The sequence below is a fragment of the Homo sapiens genome, chromosome 6 (genome assembly GCF_000001405.40).
Source record: "Homo sapiens chromosome 6, GRCh38.p14 Primary Assembly".
NCBI classification, from domain to species: Eukaryota; Metazoa; Chordata; class Mammalia; order Primates; family Hominidae; genus Homo; species Homo sapiens.
In genome coordinates this window covers 86,967,909-86,992,773 of record NC_000006.12, presented here as the reverse complement: position 1 = coordinate 86,992,773, position 24,865 = coordinate 86,967,909, and the positions used below count along the sequence as shown (strand labels likewise).

At 37.2% G+C, this 24,865-nt stretch overlaps 1 protein-coding gene and 1 pseudogene across 2 annotated transcripts in view, besides 1 other annotated feature; both read right to left on the bottom strand.

Moving 5' to 3' along the window:
• Positions 1–24,865, bottom strand: part of HTR1E (5-hydroxytryptamine receptor 1E) — a 79,152-nt gene that overhangs the window by 23,906 nt on the left and 30,381 nt on the right. The gene's annotated exons all lie outside the window — the stretch shown is intronic.
• RPL7P29 (ribosomal protein L7 pseudogene 29) lies at positions 21,516–22,340 on the bottom strand (annotated as a pseudogene).
• Positions 22,279–23,478: an enhancer, noted in NCBI's record as "P300/CBP strongly-dependent group 1 enhancer chr6:87679014-87680213 (GRCh37/hg19 assembly coordinates)". NCBI's record gives its function as "activates an origin of replication core promoter dependent on BRD2, BRD4, P300/CBP, MED14 and CDK7 cofactors, with strong dependence on P300/CBP, by STARR-seq in HCT116 cells {active_cell/tissue: HCT116}" and the evidence as "EXISTENCE:reporter gene assay evidence [ECO:0000049][PMID:35650434]".

Sequence of the window (24,865 nt, the reverse complement as noted above, 5' to 3'; positions counted from 1 at the left end):
AAAATGAGGATAATTATACCTACCTTACACATTTATAGAGAGAATTAAATGGGACAGCATTTGCCAAAGTGCTTGCACATTTCCTGACACCTAAGAGATACTCAATAAACATTTGTTCAGTCTGTTGTTTGCTGAACATGTTTATATGCTGATGGATTTGTTATCTACATATTGAACTCTGAAGTATTTACTCGTGTTTGCGTCTTTGAATGTTTAGTCCATCCCTTTTAAATTTATTCTTCAGCCATCAAGGTGATAAAACAAAATGTGAACCTAATATATATTGACCAAAGTATAATGCATTTGTCAGTCCAGTTCACGTCGTTCTTTGGTAAACATTCATAGTAGGCTTGAGAACTTGAATTGAAAAACTGTTTTTAATAACCTCCATACCACATGTATTACAAGCTATGCCCAGGCCTTCCTTGGAATTTTTGGAAACACAACTCTATGTTTCTATAGAAAGATGAGGAGAAAAAGGGCAAGTTATACAAGTAATTTTCCCTATCTACATAAAGCTTTTGTAGAAAGCAGATACATTTCTCTTTACCCTTTAAATCAGTTGCATTCATTCACAAAGTCATTTCGAAGGGATTATTGTTTAGAAGGCAAATCCAGAAAAAGGTGTTAAAGGCAAGCGGGTGGTTGAGATTTTTCTAATGAGACTAAGGGTTGTAAGTGGGATGGGTAGAGGGGGACAGTTTGGGTAGGAACTGAAACCTTTGGAATTGAAAGTAGAGGATGGCCTGAGTGGGAAAAGGAAGTAATTTAGAAGGCAGGGTGGCAGAAAGGTGATGCAAGTGATTGGCAAAATGGTTTCACCACTTTTGAGATGATAATATGAAAGTCAGATGTAATATCCTGCACAATTTACAAGGAAAATTTAGAGAAATGTCTCCAATTTGAAGAGTTTGTATAAAACATATGTTTGCAACTGGAGTCTATTCTACTATTAAACATAATCATTATTGGACAGCCGCTACACATTTGTGTTTCTGTGAAATCTGGTTTACTTGTTGGTTTGAGCTTTTACCTTCCTTAACTCTTTGTTTAGAACATATTCTGCTTCTGAGACCACTACACAAATAAGACTTAGTTTGTTCTTCACTGAACAAACATCACTTTTCCTTTTATTCTACAGCTTGTTGTCACCACTCCACCCCTGGCTGCTGAAAGTATTTAGTTTTCTCAAGTCTTCTGTCTTCCTTGGATTTGGCAATGCATTCACTATAAAACTCTACCATGCTCCAGGGAAGAGCATGCAATAAGATACATTTGCACCATCTATTTTAAGAAATAAACTTTTTATTTTGGTAGAAATTTATATTTATAGAAGAGCTGTAAAGAAAGTACAGAGAGTTCATATATACCCCTCATTCAGTTTTACCCATTGTTAACTTCTTGTATTACCATGGTACATTTTTCAAAATTAAGAAAAAGACATTGGCTCGTTACTATTAACTAAACTTCAGATTTTATTTGGATTTAATAGTTTTTGCATTAATGTCTTCTTTCTGTTCCAATTCAGGACACCACATTGTATTTAATTTTTCTTATCTCCCCAGTCTCTTCTGGTCTGTGACTTTCTAATCTTTGCTTGTTTCTCATGACTGACTGTCTTAAGGAATACTGGCCAGGTATTCTGTAGAAAAAAATGTCCCCCTGATCTCAGTTTATCTGATGTTTTCCCTCATGTTTAGACTGGGGTTATAAGTTTTGGTGAAGAGTATCTCAGAAGTCAAGCCCTTCTCATTAGATCATATTAGAGAACATGATATTCACTTGACATTACTGGTGGTGTTAACTGTCATCATTTGGTTAAGGTAGCATTTGCCATGATTCTCCACTATAAAGTTACTATTTTTCCCTTTCCCTGCTCTATTTTTTAAGAAGTGAATCACTAAGTCTAGTCTACCTCCAAAACTGAGGAATTAAGCTCTGCCTTTTGGAGAGGGAGAATATGAACATACATTATATGGAATTCTGAAAGGAAGATTTATCTCTTCTCCCCTACTTTATTTGTTCAGTCATTTATTTATATTGATATTTACTGTGCATATATTTATGATTCAGTCCCAAGGGGGCAGTAGCCTTTAGTTCTGGGGAAATTATTTTATAAATACACTATTGATGCCTATTTATGTTTATTTATATAAGTATGAACTCATGGCTATTTATTTTATTCTTTGGGTTATAATCCAATACTAGGTTATTTATTTTATTGCTCAAGTTGTTCCAGTTTTGGTCACTGGGAACTCTTTCAGTTAGTTCCTGCTGAACCATTTCTTTTATTAGACTGTTTTCGTTTGTCCTGTATAGACTGGCAACAACACCTCTTTGAAAGGTGATGGGGAAAAATGATCTGTCTTGTGAAATACAGATAAGGTTTTAGTCAATACAGAGTCTCCATTGAAGGCAAATACATCATTTTTATATGAAGGACACCTGTAGGGTGTTATTTACTTTTCAGCTGAGAATAATAAAAATGAACTTTATGAAATGCCTATCATTTAAGCTAGCTGGTGCTTGAGGTTGTATTAGCATATTTTAAAAAAATGAAATGACTTTCTTTTGACCCAGCTTAATAACACCACTGAAGTAGGAAACTCCTCAGAGAAGAACTGGGCTCCCTCCTGTGCTGTGCACACATTTGCCTTTTGAATCTTTTGTAGTGCAACATGCTTTTGTGGCAGACCCAAGGGAATACACATGGAAGCTGCCTGCAGGGCTGAGGTTTCCTACTAGGCTTCCACTTAGTGCCATCTATCTAAGCTTCCACCTAGTGCATTGCTATCTCAGACCACTTGATACTGTTCCAGCCACCTCAAAGGGCATGTTCAAGAAGGAGATTTGTAGGTATCTTTTTTTTTTGGCTCAACTTACTGTAGGTTGAAAAGCAAGAGATAGTATGTTGTATAAAAATGGAGGAGTGAAGAACAGAATCCTCCTGCAAATGTGTCTTAGATACATTAATGATTGGTTGTGTGACTCTGAAAAAGACACTCCTTGCTTCAGGTCTCTGTTTCCCTATCTGTAAAATTAGCACCTCATTATTTCTGACCATCTTTTGGGGCTAACATCCTATGGTTTTTATGCTACAGTCAGTGTTATGGTAATTGTTATTACAGTTTGTAACTTCCAGAAATTAATGGCAAATAGGTTAGGAAGGAACTGGTTAGAAACTACTGCTTTTTCAACAAGGACCAATAATGTATCCTCAGGTGACAATGTTGTCTATTATTTTCCCCTGGATATTTAATTGAATTTTACAAAGTCACAGGAATCCTCCAATACCAGTTATTTGATTCCTAAGGCACTCTTTTCTTCCAACAACCACCTATGTCTGCAAAGTATAAATAGCTCATCATTTTTTTTATCATGATTTTGTGATAGCTTCTTAAGTTGGTGCAGAAAACATCTTCCAAGACCACTTCTCATCAGGGCATAAGGCACTGCACACTTTCATTCAATATGTTCAAGGTAGAATTTGGTGATTTGGGGACCGGTACTCAGGAAGACAGGCAAAAAGGAGAGCTGCTTGGGGAGAGAAGATCTGGGGCTGGCTTCAGGGAGAAGGACATCTGGGAGGCAGTGTGGTGTCGGGGTAGGGACAGTAACCTGGAGGATCCCTTAGAACAGATGGCTGCCTTGGGTAAGGGGTATGTGCATGTATTTATCATTCAGTTCCAAGAAAGAAGTAGCCTCTAGTTTGGGGGAAATTATATTTAAAAACGTGTTGTTAATGCCCAATAAAAATGTCAGTGATTCATCACACTTATATGGCACTATTATTTCCCAAATTTACTTTCACTTTAATTTCCTGGCTTAACATTAATTCCTGGTTTTAACTTTGAACACGTAGTCTTTCTATCAAACATACACACTTACACCTCAACTTGGCTCTTATGTTGATATTTAGTCATCTTTCTCTTTTCTTGGCTTATTTTCTACTCTTTGGTGACAAAACAGGAGAAAATAGTTTTTCACCAAACAGGAGAAGAAGTGGTGTGTGGTTTCTCACATTTATGCATGTTTTGGGACTTCCTTCATTTCAGGTTATCATTTCAAGGATGCTTGTATAGACAGCATCCTTGGAGGATAGATATAGAGAAAGGGAGTCATGCTTACTGTTTATTATGATAAAGATAATACTCCGCTTTGGAATAAGGAGTAGGCATGCTTTCTGCCTACTATAAATGATTTAGGTTTTCTAAGGTAAGTTTGCAAACTGTAATGCAACCCACTGCATGCACAAGAGTCATCCGGCCCTCTGCATCCATCATTCTGTGGGAATTCGGGCTTGGGAAGTTGCTGTAAGAAAATGTTCATACCCTGTCTACTGCTATTACTGTGAGTAATAAAGTCCTTTTACTCTGATCCAGGAGTCTTCTGTGTTCTGCTGGCTTTCATGAAATTGGCATGCTAATTTGTTAGCTTACAAATAGGGTAAAATCTCAGATTTTCAGAGTTAGTTCTTTGCAGTGTACTTCCCGTGGTAAACTCATAGTGGGCTGCATAGAACCACTAGTTTCAGGGCATGGTCCTCTTTTGATCCATACCTACCTCAAGTTTGATGTGGTACCAAAGAAGGGTCTGATAACTTAGATTCTGAAAGAATGAGATTCAAGTATACATTTGGTCACTCTCTAGCTTTGTAATGTTGGCAAGTCAATATTTCTGTGTCTCTTTACCTTCTCTTTTTAATGGAGATGACCTACTTGACAAAGTTATTGTGAAGATCAAATTAGATAATATGGATACCTGTGCTATTCAATATAGCAGCCATATATAGTGCTATGGTTTAACTATGTCCTCTCCGAAAGTCAGGTGTTGCCAATGTGTTAGTACTAAAAGGTGGAGCCTTTAAGAGGTGATAGGGCCGTGAAGGCTCCTCCTTCATGAATGAGATTAAGACCCTTATAAAAGGTTTCACACATTTGGTGAGCTTGCCTCTCTGCCTTCTGCCATGTGAGGACACTGTATTCTTACCCTGTGGAGGATGTAGCTCTCACCAGACAACCAAACCTGCTAATGTCTTGATTTTGGAATTCTCAGGCTCCAGAACTATGAGAAAATAAATTTCTGTTCTTTATAAATTACCCATCTTGCTATTTTGTTGTAGCAGCACAAAATGACTAAGACACATGGCCAGTTAAACTTAATTATAGTAAAAATCAGTTCCTCAGTTATACTAGTGCTAATTTTCAAATGCTCAATAGGCACATGTGATTAGTGGCTGCCATATTGGATTGAACATATATATATATATATGTTTCTATTATTGCTCAAAATTCTGTTGGGTAGTGCTGATAAAGCTCCTTATACATTACGGAGCATTAGAGAAATATAAGTTAGTTTTCTTTTTCCTTTGCTATTGAAGGGAGGTTGGATGAGATCAGCTTATCTGCCTCACTGCTAACTTGTGGCAAGTTTTAAGACTTGTGTGCCTTGGAGAGCCCTAGCTTTTTATATACAGTATAGTAAAAAACCTAAGAAAGCTTTAGCAACAGATGCAAGACTGGGAATGACAACTAAGCCTTATCTCATCTCATGTTTCAGTGATTATACTGACACTGTGTTGGGCTAAGATTGCACATGGGCTCAGCATGAGAATTGCTGTGAATTGATAATTGGTATTTGCCATGGCTGTGGAAAGGGGTTGGGGAGCATGCATTCTATATATTTGCCATATTTGTTCTATATGTGTTTATTTACTTTGTATTTGGTTGTCTTGCCTCAACAGTAAATGTGTTTTGCTTTCCCTTTGTATAAACATATTTTCTGACTTCCAAGTTTCCAATATTTACTTTGTCAATTTTTGCCTCCTTTTCTTTTTCCTTCCTCAATAGTATGGTTATGAAAGAGGCCAAGGGGACTTTGCTATGTTTCTTCTTACCCCCCGTGAACTTTCTTAGTTGCTAAGCTCTCATTAACTACAATCCCTTCTAGAATAGGGTTAATCAAATTTCACTATTTCTTAACAAAGTGTTGAAAGGGTCTATGGGGATTAGTAGCACTAAGCAGAATTTGATAGGGTACTAATATCTCTGTAAATATTATAGGATTATATTTATTTTTCTTAACTGCTACAAGTGAGGTACTTCAGATATAATGGGAAATGCGAATAGTCTCACCTCATATAAACTTCAACTCATGGGTGCTTACTGATGGAGTGCTGGGCTGAGTATTTGGAGGTGGTGTTCAGATTCAGCAGAAGAAAGTTACGACTGATTAGTGCTCACTCACTAGCAACTAGCCTACATTGATATCTGAATGTCAGAACTAAGATATTTTATTTTCCTAGAATTTAAAAAGACTGCCTTCAAATGTCTTGAAAACTGTCATCTTCGTGAAATCTAATTTCAATCTTAGCTCTGCCTAGAGAAAAACAAATTCTTTCAAACACCATGAGTATGAATTCAAGCTCTTACAAAAACACTGATAGAATTGTGACCCTATATAATACTTTAAAAATGTTTCTAAGAAGCATAGCAAGGTAGTGATATAAACTTTTCTCCTGTGAAAAAAAGCATATATAGTAAATAACAGTCCTCCAGATATTGGAAATAGTAAACATTACCAGAATTTGTTCTGTAAAATGTGAAGAATGCCATCATAAATTTTGAACTAATAGTTTTGCCAATTCTCCAGATGTTTAGGACTGACAGAATAGATAATGACAGTTTTCTGAGGTGAAGAGTCTGTGGAGAAAAATATCTCATATTTACTACACAAAGTAAGAGGGGATGACAGAAGGAGAAATGTATAGAAATAAATGAATTCCAGTAAATTTAATCTGTGATAAAAGTCAGAAGCATTCAAATATGAGACAGATAAGAGCACTGCATGCCTCCCATCTTGACCTGACAACATATGGTTTCCAGAGTCAAGATATGCTTTAAAAATTTCACCTTGTTGCAATGTATCCTGCAGCATTTAAAAGAAGCAAGTTGATGCACACATTGAATTTTATTCAGTTCTCCAAACCTGGGTAGATACTGGTAATTGGGGCTAAAGGATGGCCATGGTCCTTGCCCTTGAGGTGCTCACATTCAACAGGGAAGGCAGATCTGAGTGAAGCTGGGCTGTTAAGAGGACCCATCACCCAGTTAATTTATCTTTCACAGCCATAGTGGTTGTCCTGATGCTGTCTCTGCTGACTAGCGCTATCCTAGTTCCTTTGATTTGGAACACCTTCCCTCATATCTTCTGCTTATCTGAGCCTTGCTTTTTTTTCTAAGGCACTCAAATTCCATCCCATTTGTGAGGTCTTTTGGGACATTCCTTACACTTAATTAAATATCTGGACCAAGTTGATACCTTAAAGGGCTAGGATATTATAAAAATATTTTGATGTTCCCTATACACATAATTAAAAAATGTTAATCATAAGTATAAAGAAATCCTACAAAGTTCTTACCTTTATTTTGATGAACATTTTAATGCTATTTAAGGACACATCAGGGATCAAATTGTTTCAAAAACTTTCTTTTTTTTTCTGTCTCTAGTTTTGGCGCTCCTACATTGGAATCCTAAAAATATACTTGATTTGCTTTGAGGTAACCCAGCACTGCTCAGGCCTGTCTCCTATATGGGATTGAGAGCACCATCTTCATTTCCTTAGTTTACGGCCCAGCAAGTGCCAGCCGGTAGATGTTTAGTAAGCATTTGCTGAATGACAGCGTGAATACATTATAGTTCTTTATTGTCACTTGGCCTATGCTGTCTTTGATTATTACCACAGCATCCAGAATAAAATAGGTGTTGATAAATTCTTGCTTGATGGTGTTTGTGGTTGTGATGAATAGTTGTAGACCAAAACTTGTGCTCCTTGTCCCATAGTTTAGGTTTAAGTATATTTTCTACACACTCCCCCTCCCACCACCTTGCATCTTAGTTTGATTTTATGATTATTTCACATCAATGAAATGTGAGCAAAAGTGATGTGTGTTACCTCTGGGCCACAGTTTTTAAGAAACAGGATGTTTCTCCATGCTTTCTTCTTCCACTGGCAAAATGCAGAAGATTATGAGACCCTGTGGGACCACAAGAGGCAAGGAGTCTGTTTCCCAAATCACCATGTAGAGAAAAGCTACCTCCCAATTAGGAGTTCCAGAGTTGGGCCATTATCTGAGTAAGAAATAACCTTCTGCTCTGTCAAGCCTCTGACATTTCAGGGTTTATTTGTTACAGTACTTAGGGTTATTCTAACTGATAAATTCTTGTAATTAAGTTCTTAAAATCAGCATCCCTGTTTTTTCTTGTTGGTGGCTCTCTCTTGCTGCTGGTTAGAGTACAGTATTAAAACCCAAGTCATGGGTAAATTCCTTACACAGGCCAGAAAGAGTTGCTCTAAGCACTGAAGCTCAAATGGCTGTGCTTTGGTTTTTAAGAGAGGTCAATTGAAAGAATGTGGATTGATCAGTTTAAATCTATGTATTCATTTTGTGGAAAACATCCACATGAGAGTAGAATTATATGACCTTTCGCCCAAGAAGACAGTATTATATTTTACACACAGGTAAAATATAATGAAATATATGAAATATAATGAAACCACTGCTGCTTTTGTTTCTTAAGTCTGAAGATGGTGGCCTTTTGAGTTCTAAATAAATATGCCTAGTTGTAGAATGTATTTGGGAAATGAGGTTTGAACTCAAAAGTGAAAGCCATCAAACCAAAGGCCACAGCAACTAGGATGCAGTTTGGAAAACTTTTCTAGAGTACCTCCAAAAATAAATGTAAATATAGGTTAACATAAATTTGAATTTAATCAGGGGGATTGATCACAAAGAGTATTAGTTAAGTGAAAGTCAAATAATTCTAGGAGTATATATATTTTAAAATATTATTTTTGTAATTCAGGATATGGTCTTTGACTTTCTTCAGTTTTATATATTGGTTATTTTTGAAAACTAATTGTTTAGTAAAATGAATAGGTTTATTCAATCAGTTATAAATAGAAAAAAAGATCTGAATAAGTTGTACATATTTATGGGGTACATGTGATGTTTTGATACATGCATATGATGTATAATGATCAAATCTGGGTGATTGGGATATCCATCACCTTCAACATTTATAATTTCTTTGTGTTGGAAACATTCCAAATCTTCTCTTCTAGCTATTTTGAAACGTACAATAAAAATTATTAACTATAGTCACCCTATTGTGGTATCAAGCTCTAGAAGTTATTTCTACTAACTGTATTTTTGTACCCATTAACCAACCCCTCGTCATTTCCCCTTTCTCATTACTTGTCCCAGCTTCTGGGAACCACCATTTTATTCAGTATATTCACGTGACTCAATAATTTTAATTAAGAGCTTCACATTTTCCTCAACATCTTTCAGTCACTAAAACCTCCTTTTCCTAGAACTTGAGGTATAAATGTTCTTCAAATGAATATCTTTAAATTTTGATCAGAAGATAGTGATACCATGATCAGAAGATAGTGATAGTGATATGTATGTTTCTAACTTAGCAACTCTTAAATAATCACTTTGAAGAAATGATTTCTTAGGGAAGAATTTTCTTTCTGGGATTTGCTAATTTCAGTTGAAACAATGAAGAGTTACATGTTAAGTTAGATCTGAAAAATGATTCTCTGTGTTACAAATTGTAAATGGCTCAAGTTAAGAAAGACAAAGAGAAGAATATTTGTATTAATAGCTTAAGATAATCAAACCTGGCTTATTTATAGAAAACAAGAGATAAATTTACATTATTTCTTTTATATGTTAAATATGTTTCTGAATTTGCAATGCATTCTGCCATCCTTAAGGAAGCTCCTCTTTTGCATGGCTTCAGGAGCTCTCTTTTTCTCTCACTCCCTTCTCTCCCTTTCCTCTTTCTTTAATCAGATAACATAGACTTCACGCTGGATGGTTTAGGATGTGAAAATTGCATGGTAAGTAGAATGTAATTAAATTATATGGGCTGATAATGAATCAGTAAGATGCTATATTCCACATAGACTTGACTGGCTTTCATTCAAATTACCCAGTCTCATCTTACTATTTTTAGAACTTTCCTACTTTATAATCGTTCTTTGTTTCACTTAGTTCCTCTGGAGAGGGAGCTCAGGATCTTTTCATTTTTGCATAGTCAGATTCCAGACTGGTGTTTAGGACCTTAAAGATCTTTTGTCTGGAAGAGGAATAGGTAATTTAAGCTGAAGACACAAGTCAGGCCCACCAATCTGAGCAGGTACAGTGCACACCACAGTGCCTGCCCCAGACCCCTCTTCAGGGCTGACCCATTCCTGGATTCTCACTCCTCCTCAGGCATTCTTCTGTCACTTCCTTGCAGGTGTATCGCCTGAGAGCACATCACAACCAAAATTCTGCACACAATTCTCCATCTTAGAATCTATTTCCAAGAAACCCAACCTAAGACAAAAGGAGAGTGGGTTAGGGCAGTGCCTCCCCTTAAAAAAATTCTCAAAGCCCAGTAAAGGTATAAAATTATCTAAAGCACATTTAGAAGGTGAATGTTCTCTAGAGACAGTTGAAGTAGGGAGTAGGGTGTTTAGATAATTGGGTAATTATGGTGGAAGGGAAGAGGAGGTAGATGCCTACAGGAAAATATGGTCTATAATTTAGAAGAAAGACAAGAGATAGAAGTTCTAGTGCGTAAAGACAGGTCACATGGATGTGTTGCTTGCCCTGCTATGGAGCTGGAGAATACTGGCAATTGAGGCCAGGCCCAGCCCACCTGGTTCTTATTCTCCAGGGAATAGTAGATATTGCTAGAGGCACATGTGGAGGGCTAAGGGTTCAGATACATCACTCAAGGGAGAAATCAAAGTTAAGTGAACAGCTTCATTTTCTGTGAAAAACCAATGGAAGTGTTTGAGAGATAGTGAATATGTCTGGCCAGAGTTGCTGGAGACACTAGGGTAACAAGGATAGAGGCATCAGCTTTAGAATCTTAGGTTGAAATCCTGACTCTTTCCCTTCCTAGGTAGTGTCTTTGGTTAATTTACTTGATTTCTTTGAGACCAGTAAATTGGAGATAATATCAAAGGACAGTTATGAGAATTAAACAATATATGTAATACACAGTGTGCAGTAGGTATTAAATACGTAGCTAATTATTTATTTGTATGATGCAAGAATGTTGTACAAATACCCATGTGACAGCTGGCATGGAATACCTTGGCCTCAGCAGTGGCTCCATAGCTCCTTCCTCCATTCCAGGACATTGAAGATGATAGTAAATAGAGTTTCTCCAGTGGACCTGAATTACAATGTACAGATCTATTCTAGGGCATGAATTATCTTCTTCCTTTCTCACAGCTTTGTGGAGTCATTACTTGGACATGTAAATATTTACCTGCGAAATGGTAAGCATAATTTATGCAATTCACGGAAATCCTAAGGTTCATGTGAGGCTGTAACTCTTAGACCCACAGAAAGTCACTGAGGATTTGTTGTATTTTAATGTCATCTGTTGCTTTCCTTATCTAATATTTAATTTAAAGTAGAGTAGTTAGCACTCTAGATAAGTTTAAAACAAAGCTCTTTTCAAACCAGAGCAGTCAGTAAGCAGCAAAGTGGATGTTCCCATTAGCTATGCTGATCAGGCACAGGCATGGGAACCACAGAACTTAAAGTCGGTGGATATCTGAGCCTCTGTTGCCTCAACCCATTACTCCTTTGAAGAGTAGTTGGAGGGGTGAGGGACTTGCCAAAAGACCTACAGCTGCTTAGTGAAAAGACAGATCATGACCAGTGTCTTCAGAACTCTTTCCACTGCACCAGACAACCTATGCAGTCCATCCCTGAAAAGACACAGACATGATGAGCTAGTGGTGGCCTTCCAGGTGCATGTACACACGGACTGTCAATTGATCAGTTCAGTACATTATACACACCCACCCACACATACTCCTGGACACAGTTTAGGTTCATAACAACTCAAAAGGGAACTGTGAATCTCATAGGAATTAGTATAATTTGGAGATGGAATCAAAACAATTGTTTCCAGTTTACATAAACACTTTACTCTTTAAGAGGAATAAAGTACTGCCAAAGCTATGAAACTAGAAGAATATTTTTGCCTGAGGGGAAAAATTAGCTTTACTATCAGAAACTTAATGATTATAAAATAAGTATTTGTTTATATCCGTAAAGTTGTCAACATAGAGTATGATGACTAAAAACTAGCATTAACTAAACGGAAAGGATTCTGAAATACACATCTTTGCCAAAAATGTGTATCAGAGCTACTGTGGAACTAAATATCTCTATTTCTTATTGAGAGTCCCTCCTGTACTGTTATATGGGCCGTGTCTGAGTTGGGTGGTGCCTGTTTGCCTTGTCACGTCCCTCTTCATCCATGACCCTGTTTTGATTCTTCTCTTTTTTTCTTTTTTTTTTTTTTGAGACAGAGTCTCGCTCTGTTGCCCAGGCTGGAGTGCAGTGGCTCGATCTTGGCTCACTGCAAGCTCCGCCTCCCGGGTTCACACCATTCTCCTGCCTCAGCCTCCCGAGTAGCTGGGACTACAGGCGCCCGCCACCATGCCCGGCTATTTTTTTCTATTTTTAGTAGAGACAGGGTTTCACCCTGTTAGCCAGGATGGTCTCCATCTCATGACCTCATGATCCGCCCGCCTCGGCCTCCCAAAGTGCTGGGATTACAGGCGTGAGCCACCGCGCCTGGCCGACCCTGTTTTGATTCTAAAGGACTGATCTTGTCAGCTAAGATAATCCAGCTTCCACCCCCTCAGCTCTTGTTTGGATTTGGTCAGTGAGAGGCTTTGGCAGGCGGTCAGATTATGGGGAGAGAGTGAGAATGGGGTATTTATTTCCGGGGCTCCTTTCCTGTGGTGCTGCAGGTGGACCGTTTCTGTAACCTTCCACCTATGATCATAGCTCCTGTCAGGCATCCTTCTACCACCATGACTCTCAATAGGCTAGCTTCGGCATAGAAGCGGTAATGGCTTCTCCTGTTGTCAATCCTAGGCTCTTTCACCATCCCTGTGGCTTCCCTTAATCCCATCTTTTACTCTTTTGTAAATAGTACTTTCATTAAAATCTCTTCAATTACCTTTTTTTTGGATTGTGTCTTAAGTTTCCTACAAGTACTTTGATTGATCCAGGCATGCACCTAATTTGTACCCACACAGCAATATATTGTCATTACATGTCTTAAAGTCTCCAGGGACTTCTTATTTACTTGTTATGTTTTCCAACTATACTGTAATAGACTCAAATATATATACCACCACTTTGCCATATCCAAGAGGCAGTCACCTTATATCTGTCCTCTCAACCAGGCCAAAACTTAAAAAATACGTCTTATTTCATTTCTTCTCTTTTCCTCTTTCACGGTAATTTCTCTGACCATCTATAGTTACTATTTGGCCTTCAGAAATAGTTTTTGAGTCATGGACTCCTTTGTGAATCAGATGAAAATATAATTCCCCTTTTCAGAAAAGTATATACACATACATAACAAATTTGCATATGATTATGGTTTCTCCTATTGAACTGGAAGTTGATTTTGTTCAAAGAATATTTTCTTCATGGGAAAAGCCATGTAAATTTAGTGGTGATTTTCAGGAAATAATCAAGATGAATCTAAACTGTGCAAAAAAATCAAAATAAAATCCTAAGAGTAAACATTAACTCTGTACAAATTAAGCCATCTGATGTTAAACTTGAAAAAGAGACTGACATAGCAATGTGAAAATTATCTTGGACACTCAATTGATTTTGACATTTTTATTTTGATGGCAGCTGGTACTAAAACCCGTGACTCAAAGGTACATTGCTGTCAAAGAACATCAGAATTCTCCAAGACTCTCTTGGGTTTAATTTGTGTAGCATCATTTCCTTTTTCTTCAAATCAATGAGGTTACCTTGCAAAGCTGGCATTACCAATTCTCTCTATGCCAGGAAGGAAAGGATTATGAGGTCATGTTTAAGCTTTAAAATTATCTGAGCAGAAGAAACCTGCATGGGAACTATTCAGTGTTTTCAGATTTCTTTCTGCAGGGAAGCTGTGAAGGCCTAACCTGCAGAAACACTTTCACCAGCACCTCAAAGTTGGCATGCATGTCTGCTTGCAATTTCAGTTTTCAGACAGGAGGTTGGACTTGATTTGATCAATTAGGATATTTCTGGCTGCAAGTACAAAAGCCCAAGTCAATGACAAATTATACAGTAAAGAAATTTATTATCTCACATAACAGAGAGTCCAGAAGTAGAGTCAGCTTTGGTCAGGGTGGTGACTCAGTGATCCATAATGTTATCAAGACATAAATGCTTTCCATATTTCTGCTCCATTAGACAGCCTGGAATTCAGACTGGTTCTCCTATGGTTACAAGTCACCTACCAGGAGAATCTGATGTAACGTATGTTCTTAACATTGTAAAAGAGAGTTCTTCCCCTAACTATGATTGGACCGATGCAGGCCATGTAATTTCTCCTCTACCTATATAACAGTAGCCAGAACAGTGTCATGTGCTGACTGGTTTCAACTAAGGAGGGACAATTTGGCAATGAGATTTGTTTTCCTCAGTCATTTGGTGAGTGGGGGAAATAATGTACAAACTAAAATCAGGATTTCATTAGGAAGGAATAAAGTGAAATGAATGTTGGGAAAGTAACTAATGTGCCCTACTGATATTTTCAGTAGTATCTATAATAACATCTGTAGGAAGCATATAGAATGATTTACTTCAGCAAAAAAGATCTGCTAATTAAACTAATCATGGAATAAATCTTCATCAAATTGTTCTGTGAGTAAAAGACACTATCAACAGAGTAAACAGTCAACCTACAGAATGGGAAAAAATATTTGTAAATTACGCATCTGATAAAGGAATTTAAGCAAATCAAGAAGCAAAAAACAAATAACCCCATTAAAAAATGGGCAAAGGATATTAACAGACACTTCTTAAAGGGAGTGATACAAGCAGCCAACAAACATAGGGAAAAATGCTCCACATCACTAATCATCAGAGAAATGCAAATCGAAATGATAATCACAATATGATACCATCTCACCATTCTGAGACACCATTTCAGCCATTCATTCAGAATGGCTATTATATTAAAAAGTCAAAAAACAACATATGCTGGTGAGGCTGTGGAGAAAAGGGAACGCTTACACACTGTTGGTGGGAATGTAAATTAGTTCAGCCACTGTGGAAGGCAGTTTGGAGATTTCTCAGAGAACTTAGAGCTACCATTAGACCCAGCAATCCCATTATTAGGTATAAAACCAAAGGAAAATAGATCACTATACCAAAAAGATGCATGCACTCATATGTTCATTTCCTCACTATTCACAATAACAAAGACATGGAATCATCCTTAGGTGCCCATCAATTGTGGATTGGGTAAAGAAAATGTGTTACATATACAGGGAATACTATGCAACCATAAAAAGAATGAAATAATATCCTTTGTAGCAACATGGATGGAGCTGGGGGCCATAATCCTAAGCAAATTAATGCAGGAACATAAAACCAAATCCATATGTTCTCACTTATAAGTGGAAGCTAAACACTGAGTACCCACGGACACAAACGTGGGAACAACAGACACTGTGAACTACCAGAGGAGGGAGAGGGGGAAGGGGGCATGGGCTGAAAAACTACCTGTTGGGTACTAAGCTTACTCCCTGAGTGTAACATACCCATGTAACAAACCTGCAGATGTATACCCCACACCTATAATAAAAGTTAAGAGGGAAAAAAAGAAATTGGCACCATACCGAGGTTTTCATACAGTATTAAAAAGTGTCACAATAAAGGTAGTTAATAGAGCATCTTAAAAAAATTGTTCTAAGAAGTGATATTCTTTTTCTGTAAAAGGAGCAAAATTTTCCCTTAAGTTTTATTGTGTTTCAAAAACTACTTTTTGGAAATCCAGCAAACTTAGGTCTATAATGAAGAATACGAAGAGAATAACTTCATATTAAAGTATGTTTTTGAATTCAAAGTGATAAAAAGGCAATGATTTCATAACCTGGATTTGACAAGATCCTAGCATTAGACAAGACATTTTTCTGGATCGTTGGTAGGGGATTGAGTCAGACACATTGACGTGATGAAATGTGTAGTTTCTTTCTTTATAAAAGCAGCAAAATCAGATGTGATGCTAATAGTGCAGGCGTTCCATTTATACACATATCAATATTTTTCTTCAACAAAGTTTTGGTCAACCAAGAACTCTTTCACCATCTTGGAGATGTTGATGTGTGGTGTCCAAAACTGATGCTCCAAACAGCAATTCTTTAAAGATGTCAGGAAACAAGTATGTAGACAAAAATTCAGAAGTTTGGTTCTCAAAAAGTGTATGAACCAACAGTTTCTCCATTACTTGCTTAGACATGTCAGTGATTTTGGAGTAGGTAACTTTATTTTTTATTTTGACAGTAGCACTGCTTTGGGGCTGATAATAAAGTTGGCACTCTTTGCCATGGGATTTGGTGGCTAAGTCAGACTCTCCTGAATGCCACTCCCACTACTTTCTTTTCACATTTCTCCCATTTAGCATCCCACCTGTGGTTTTTCTCTCCCAGATCACCTCTTTCCATTTCCCTTCTTGCTACTTTCCTCATTCCCACCTTTTCTTTTTCTTATTTACTCATCCCTCTCCCTCCTGTTTTCCATAACCTCTTCCTTGTATTTCCTTTGTTTCTGTCATCAGTCTTGTGGAAGAATCTTTCCAGCAACAGAATACAATAGGCGGTGTTTTCCATGAAAAATATTAGTACTTTTAGTATCCTTTGCCGATTTTGATCCACAGAGGATTGAGCAACAGTGAAATAAGCTTTCATGGTAAAGGAATGGGAGAGAGAGAGAGAGTGTGTGTGTGTGTGTGTGTGTGTGTGTGTCTCAGAGAGAGAGAGAGAGAGAAAGAGAGAAGGTGAGATTTAATAAAAAAACTAATACACTTTTTCCCTTAAACAATGATTATATTGATGACTGGTCTGGTCTCACAGGCAGAAAAGAAGGAAAGGAATCACTTTTCCATGAGTGTGTTTCACGTATGCTAATAAATTAAGGTTTGGCCAAGGACCTTAAGGTATTAGGATGTTCCTAGACTAAAAATCCTACCAGTATCTCTTTTTTCTTTAACTAAAAAATTTTATTATTTGTAATCAGAGTGAGAGGATGTCCATGTACGGGCATCCTGGTAGAGTGAGGAGGGTACACATATAGGATAGTCCAAAGTGGGTAACAGAGCCCAAGCAGGGTGACAAGGATATCACAGGGGGTGGGTGGCCTGGCATGGAATTTTCAGGGAATGCACAGGCTTAGGAGAATATATAGATGGAGCGGTAGGGGAGAGTGACTTGAACATGGGTTTCAGAGACTGAACATACAGGAGAGGATGTCCATGTGCAATCATGACCTGAGTGGAATAAGGAGGATATTTATGTGAGAAGTTGATAGTTCCAAAGATGGGAGACATATATGGAAGTGTTTAAGTAAGTAACTATGTTAAGGATAATGGGAGCCAGGTTTTTCACTATTGGAAATAGGAATTGCATATATGGAAAGGGAGAAAGCTGGAATAAACTCAATGGAGTTGGAACCTTTGAGTGTGAACTCATGATTTTCAGTATCTACAGGTAGATAATAACTATTGATGTAAACGTGTGGATTTATACATGTGTGCACTTCCATACATTCCCATGATTTTAAGTTTTGTGCACTGAGCAGTCTTCGGAGCAGTACCACCCCAAATGCAATAAAAACTCCTAGGACTCAGACCTTGGTTTCTAAATACCATTCTTCAGGGAACCAGGAGTCCTTGTAGAACTATGGATGAGTCCAGGTTGGGGGAAGAGAAAATGCGAATGATCTTGGAACATCTTGTAACATAAAGCAAAGAAATGCTCAAAGAATGGTGAGGATGTATCAAAGTACACAGGAACCACTTTGAAGGGGTTTCTGCTGGCCAAATCTTGTCAATTTCAGGTTAAAAATAAATAATGATAGTAATGGATTAGAGCTTATAGAATAAAATAAACAGTGAGTCCATACTGACAAAAGATAAGTGAATGAATAAGTTAAAAGTTTCAAAATATATCTCTACAAAATATCATTAATTACCCAGGGGAAAAGAATAACTTCAAAGTTGAGAAGACTGGAAGAAATCATCTTAATCAAGCAATCAAAGTGAGCATAACTAATAATAGAACAAATTGCAATCATGCACCATTTAATAAGAACAAATCATCACTTCTGTGATATTTCTACTGAAGGTGCATAAACTGGATCTAGTCATGAGGAGACACTAGAAAACCCAAATTGATGAGTACTCTGTTAGTCTGTATTTTCTAAATTGTCAAGGTCATGAAATTTAAGACTGAGACCCCATTCCAGATTGAATGAGATTAAAGAGATGATAATTAAATGCAACACTTGATTCTGAACAGGATTCTTTTGCTATAAAGAACATTACTGGACTGAGGAACAGATGGCATTAATATTTCAATATTAATTTTCTGATTTTGAAGTTTGTACTGTAGTTATGTAAAGAATGTCTCATTTCTTGCAGGAAATACACACAAAAGTATTCAGCTGTGATGGAGCATTAGGCTGGCAATTTACTCTCAAGTGGTTTAAAAAAGTTCTCTGTATTGCAATTTTGATTGTTTCAAAATAAAAAAATATATACATACATGAAAAAGGTAAAAACATAAAAATCAAAGGAGGGAAAATTACTTCCAGCTGTGGGTATAGAAGGGTTTTGTGGAGAAGGAGATGTTTGAATGGGAACTTGAAGGATAGAAGGATCTGGTCAACCAGAGGTGAAGGAGACTTATTCTAGGCAGAGAATACACATGGGCCGTGTGGACTTGTGACTGGCCAGTCGGTTCTCTACCCTCAGAAAATAGAAACTGATGGAGAGTCTAAGATGGGCTTCAGCAAGGCAGTTTATTGCGGCTTTCACCTGGAGCAGAAAGGGAAACTACAGCAGAAAGAGATCTGCTGTTGGCTGCCTGAAAGTGGGTTAGCTTGAACTTGTATTCTTTCTAAGCTCTCTTCCAGGTAACATTATTGCATGTTTGCAGTGGTCTGTTGGCTGCACCTGTGCGGTCTCTTGTCATGCTTCTTTATATGTCCTATGTCTCATTAGTATCTTAAATCTCCTTCCTGGGCTGTGATTTTTACTATTAAAATGAAGCAAATGTTAAGTTAGGGTGAGCTAAGACCCTACAGAACATATGTATTTGGGGCGGGTCTTTTGGAAAGTCTCTATGCTGATGGCCAGGACATTTGTGGTTACAGTGCTCTATCTCTTTTAGGTCTGATTGGTAGATTTTATGAGAGTTGGTGGCTGCAAGGTTATGGAGCGGGGTATAGCTGTAATCAGCACAGCAGTGGGGAGAGATCCCCTCTCCTGCGTTCCCTGTCAGCCTCAGACTTACTGAATTTCCCACTCAGCTACACACACAGACACACACACAGACACACACACACACACACACACACACACACACAGCCACTGCCTTTGTTCTGGCTCATTATTTCTTGCTCAGACTATTGCAACAGCCTCCTAATAGGTCTTCCAGCTTCCAGACAAGGAGCATAGAACCTACAGTGGAGTTAAAAGCCAAGGATTTAAAAGGAGAAGGTGGAGGGTAGAATGAAGATACAGTTTTTACCCCCCAGGAAAGTAAATCCTCCTACTAAATAGTAAGGAGGTATCCAACCTTGCTAGAGAATTTCTATATTATAGACTAAGCTGTGAAATACAACTGTAATAAAGAACTAGCTAACTAGAAACAGCAGTGGTAGAACGTGCTTCTGTGTTCAAGCCTCTTTTTAGAAACCATCTTGTAAAGAGGGCTGTTTACCTAATCTGCCTGCTCTGGGAACTAGGATCTAGTTATGAAAACAGAATTTGTTCTGATAAAAGTTATACAGATTTATTACAGAAACTCATTATGATTTGGCAGGTTGAAAATGAGAAGTAAAAATCATCTATATGGCATAACCCCAGTAATCACTGGCAGATTTTCTTCCAGAGTTCCCCCAACTCGCATACACACTCATACAGATATCTGGGATAATTCCCTGCCTTTTTTAAGACTTAAAAACAATTATATTATAATTAGCTTGTTTGGCTATGAAATAATCTTTGAAATATTATTTTTAAAGTCACAGATATGCCATTATTATTAGAAATTTAGAATTTTTCCACCTGTAATAAATAGTGCTGCAATGACATATATCGTTTTGTTTCTTTATTTTTTAATATAATTTCTCAAATTGTAATAGAGTAAAATGCTAAATATTTCAAGGCTTTTCATACAACTTGGAAAACTGCCCCATACAACAATATTTCAATGTGTACAACCACCAGTTGTAATGAGATGAGAAGAGCCTTGTAAAAGTTGGTTACTTCACTCAGTTTAGGTAACCTTTTTTTTCCCCTGAAAATACCCAAACAATACCTTGAAGTATTCTGCATGACCTTTAACCCCTGCATAGCTAAGAATGTAAGGGATGAAAAAATGCATAAAGAATTTTTAATACATTTTACTGACAGAATTTAAGCAGCATTAACTTATGAATAGAATGAATAATGTTTCAGCCATTATTTGTGCTATTTTAAGATGGCAATTGAAACATGAGAATATTCAAGTGATATAAAATTTTACACTTAATGAAAATCCCACCAACTAAAGTAGGTAAGATTGCTTTTAATTATTGCAAAATAAAAAATTATAATGCTCTGTTTAAAATCATAATAATGCAATAGAACAAACATTTTCTTATATTCAGTTGACATTCACCCCTCAATTATCTGCTTGTGGGTTATCTGCCTTGTAGATTACACTAAGTAAATTTTAAGGACATTTAAAAATGGTTTCTAGAAAACCAGATACTGTATGTTCTTACTTATAAGTGGGAGCTAAACATTGGGTATACATGGATACAAAGATGGAAGTAATAGACACTGGGGATTCCAAAAGACTACCTGTGTTCGCTACTTGGGCGATGGAATCTCTAGAGTCTAAATCTCAGCATCATGCAATATTCCCATGTCAAAACCTGCACATCCCCTCTGAATCTAAAATAAAATAAAATTAAAAAATAAAATGATTTCTGTTCATGTCCAGCACAATAATTATCTTTTTCATCACCCAGTTAACATATGCTCAGACAATCCAAACTCATTTTTTTTTTTTTTTGCCACTGGAGGCAAAATGAAATTAGCAAGGAAAATTTACTGCTGAACTCATCATACAACAAGGTCTCCAAACACATATCAATGACTTTTGATTATCCACAATTTTACGTTCTCTCATTAGCAGAGGCAATTGGAAGCTAAATGAAACAATTTTATTTGCGGAAATCAGAGTAATTGCTCATATCCATGATGCCTTTCTTTTAGAGTTTAGAGAGTTCATGGTTTTTATAATCCATAAAGTTTCTGAAGAACAGTGAGGCTACAGGAGAAAAGGTGTGAAATAATCAGTTCTAACAGAGAATAAGTATTTGATATGTGCTGTTATATTATTATCATTTTACTTTTTTCAATTTGAAAACAGTTACTGTTTACTAATGGATTAGATTATAAAAATAATCATGGTAGACACCTTAGTTCATTCCCATAATAGGCCTGTTGATCTGGTCTTCTCTGTTGCCAGCATCTCCACCTTCTACAAAATGAGTGGTCTTTTCTTCATTCCTCCTCATGGAGAGGATAATTTGGAGGGCCACAGGAAGTTATTTGCTTCTTTGAAGTGTTTTCCAACAGTATAGATCTCATGAATCAGATCCTCCAAGCAGATGATGCCATATTTGCCAAGAGATTGAGCAAAGTGTTATCTGTCAAGGCGATTAATTTATTGACTTTGCCATAACCACTGTTGTAGATTAGCTCATTTACTGACTTCAGGTTTGGGTACCCTGATGCAATATGTGGCTCTACAAGCCTCAGTATGTTAACTGAAGGCTTGTTGAGCTTCACAAAGGTTCCACTGAAGATCCGACAAAGGTGAAGAAGCTGCAATAATACCTTTCAGAACACCTTTGTGTGCACACCATTGGAACTTCTGATCCTGATGACAAATGCCAGTTTGGATTCTGCAGGTATATAGAGGTTGCCAGCTTTTCTTGCCATTCTGGCCATTCGAATCTCCATTCTGTCCATCTGTGTATATTTCTTGTGAAAGTGCTTCAGTTTTTCACAGATAAGCTTTCTCCTTGCCTTTACAAGCACCTTTTGGGCAAACTTCTTTCTCAGGTGCTTGATCTTCAGCTCTGCAAAACTTCTTTGCTTTTTCTTGAGGGTTTTTGGCAAAGCAGGAACCTTCTTCTCTTTGGCACACTCCTTGGTTCCGGCAATAAAAGAGGGTATCATCACCATTTTAATATCAAACCACAAAGCGTTGCCATTTTACAGGTGAGCAAACCAAGGATTTGGGCCCGGGTCAGCCTAGATTTGAATCCAGATTCTGCCATCAGTCAACTCAGTGATCTTCCATAAGTAGAATATCCATACCTGGAAGCAGTTGTTACTTTAGGATTTAAAAGAACTTTGTCGTATTATTTATTCCTTTTTCTTCCCTGTATATTTATTGAATGTTGCTGTGCTCCAGGAATGGAGCCCTGGGAATACAATAGCATTAAGACACAGTTTCTTCCCTTAAGAAACAACCTTCAGGAGCTGTTAAGAAGTTGCAGTCGTTTTCTAGAAGTGACAGAAAATTGAGCTTAAAACAATGTGAAGAAAACCAAGGAATTTATTAGTAATGAAATAATCCAGGGATGATATTGGTTTCCAGTTTGATCCAGGGCTTCAGATGGCTTTCCCTGTCCCTCCATTTCTTGGTTCTACTTCATTTTTGGTCCACTCTGTAGACCCCCGTTGTTGTAAGATGACTTCTGGTTTGAGTTTTCATTCAGGCTCCCCAGGCCAAGTTCCACTGTGTCACATTAGCTCTCCTTGGGCACATGCCAATCCCTGAACCACTCACTGGGGTGTGGCTGGGGTGTGGAGAGTGACTCGTATCAAGCAGCTTTGCCTAGGTCACGTGTGGGACCTCAGGGATGGGGTCAAGTCAGTGCCATCAGAAGCACGTGGGCTTAGTGTAAGAGAAGAAGTCATCCAGAGAGAAACTTGGTAACTGACAGAGATGACTAAAAGCTGGGAGTGAAGAAAAATGTCCACAACAGAGGTGAAAGAGACCAGACAATACAATGCACAGAATGCTGCAGGGACCAAAAAAGGAACACTTGATTCATTCTTTGCCAAGTCTTGGAAGTACATGGCGGAAAATAATGTTCAAGCTGAAACCTGAAAGATAATTAGTGAGAAATCTACGCTGGGCTAGAGAGGTAGGTAGAGACCAGACCAGAAAAGTCCTGGAGTTCATGTGATGCAGCTTGAACTTTATCAGGAGGGCAGTTGGAGTAGGTGTCCTCTCATTACCTTTTATATCATGAAAGTATTTGTTTTGGAGTTGTCCCTACTTTTTCTCTGACATTTTAATCTTATTTTTCCTCTGTTCCTATTTGCTCTCTTAATTCCAACTAGGCACCCCTCCTGCTTCCTGCATATTGCTGTTTCTGTGTTTCTTGCCCCACACATCTGCTTGGATTCAGTAGGTTATTATCAACCATCAACTCTAGTGAATTAACCTAGGGGAATGTCTGCGTTTCTAAACTGAATAATGATGGCATTTACAAAGCACTTCCCCTACAAGGGAATTTAGTATATGACAGAAGTATTTCAAACTCATGGAAGAAAGTTGAATTATTCATGAATAGAGTTGGGACCACTTAATAGTCATCTATTAAAAAAATAAAGTTAGATCCCTACCTCATAATAAAATAAATACCAAAGGTATTAACAATTTACATAAAAAATCATAAGTGAAAACTAGGAAGTTTCTTTTTAAAAAATAATCTTGTGTTAATAGAGATGTTTATGAACATGAAACAAAACTTAGAGGCCACAAAAGATTGATTAATACACTAAGTTATTAAAACTAGATAACTCTGTAACGTAAAAATACCATTAATGAAAACGAATGCCACACTAGGAAAAATATTTGCAATTCAGATTATGTATTAAGGACTAATTTCATCAATATTAAAGGAGTTGCCAAAAACCAATTCAAAAAAGAACACCCACCTATAAAAGAACTGAAAATATAAATAGAGTTCACAGAAAAGGAACCACTAATGTTTTTGTTAAACTATGAACTAATGCTTAAGCAATCTTATACTTAGAAGGAATGCAAATGAAACTACCATGAGATTCTGCTATTCACTCATCAGATTATGAAATATCTCAAATTTTGATAACACATTGTGTTGGTGACAGTGTGGGGAAACAGGCACTCATACATTGCTGCTAGGAATTGCAGCCAGTATACATTTTCCAGAGGGAATTTAGCAGCAACTACCAAATTACCAAGGCACATACACTTTGGCTCAGCAATTCCACTTATAGGAAATTATCTTACATATATACTTGCAGAGGTGTTTCTACAAAGCTACTTATTTAATTATTGTTTGTAATAGCAGAATTTTTCAGAAACAAAAATTGTGACAAAATTTCTATAAATATGCTTTAATAACAGACCAGTTAAATAAATTGTGGTACACTTATATATGGAATAGGATGCAACCATTAAAAATAATAATGTAGCATGAAATAATCTCCAAAATGTAAGAGAAAATAGGGTGCAGAACAGTGAACATAGTGTGATACCACATGTGTAAACTGTATGTTAGTAAACTCATTTATTATCTCGATTGATATGCAAAAACATGATTACAGTGACTGCTTTCAGGGAGGGAAACTGATAGCTGAAAGCCAGGTGAGAGGAACAATTCTTTTTTGCATATACTACCTATCCAAAAAAACTCTC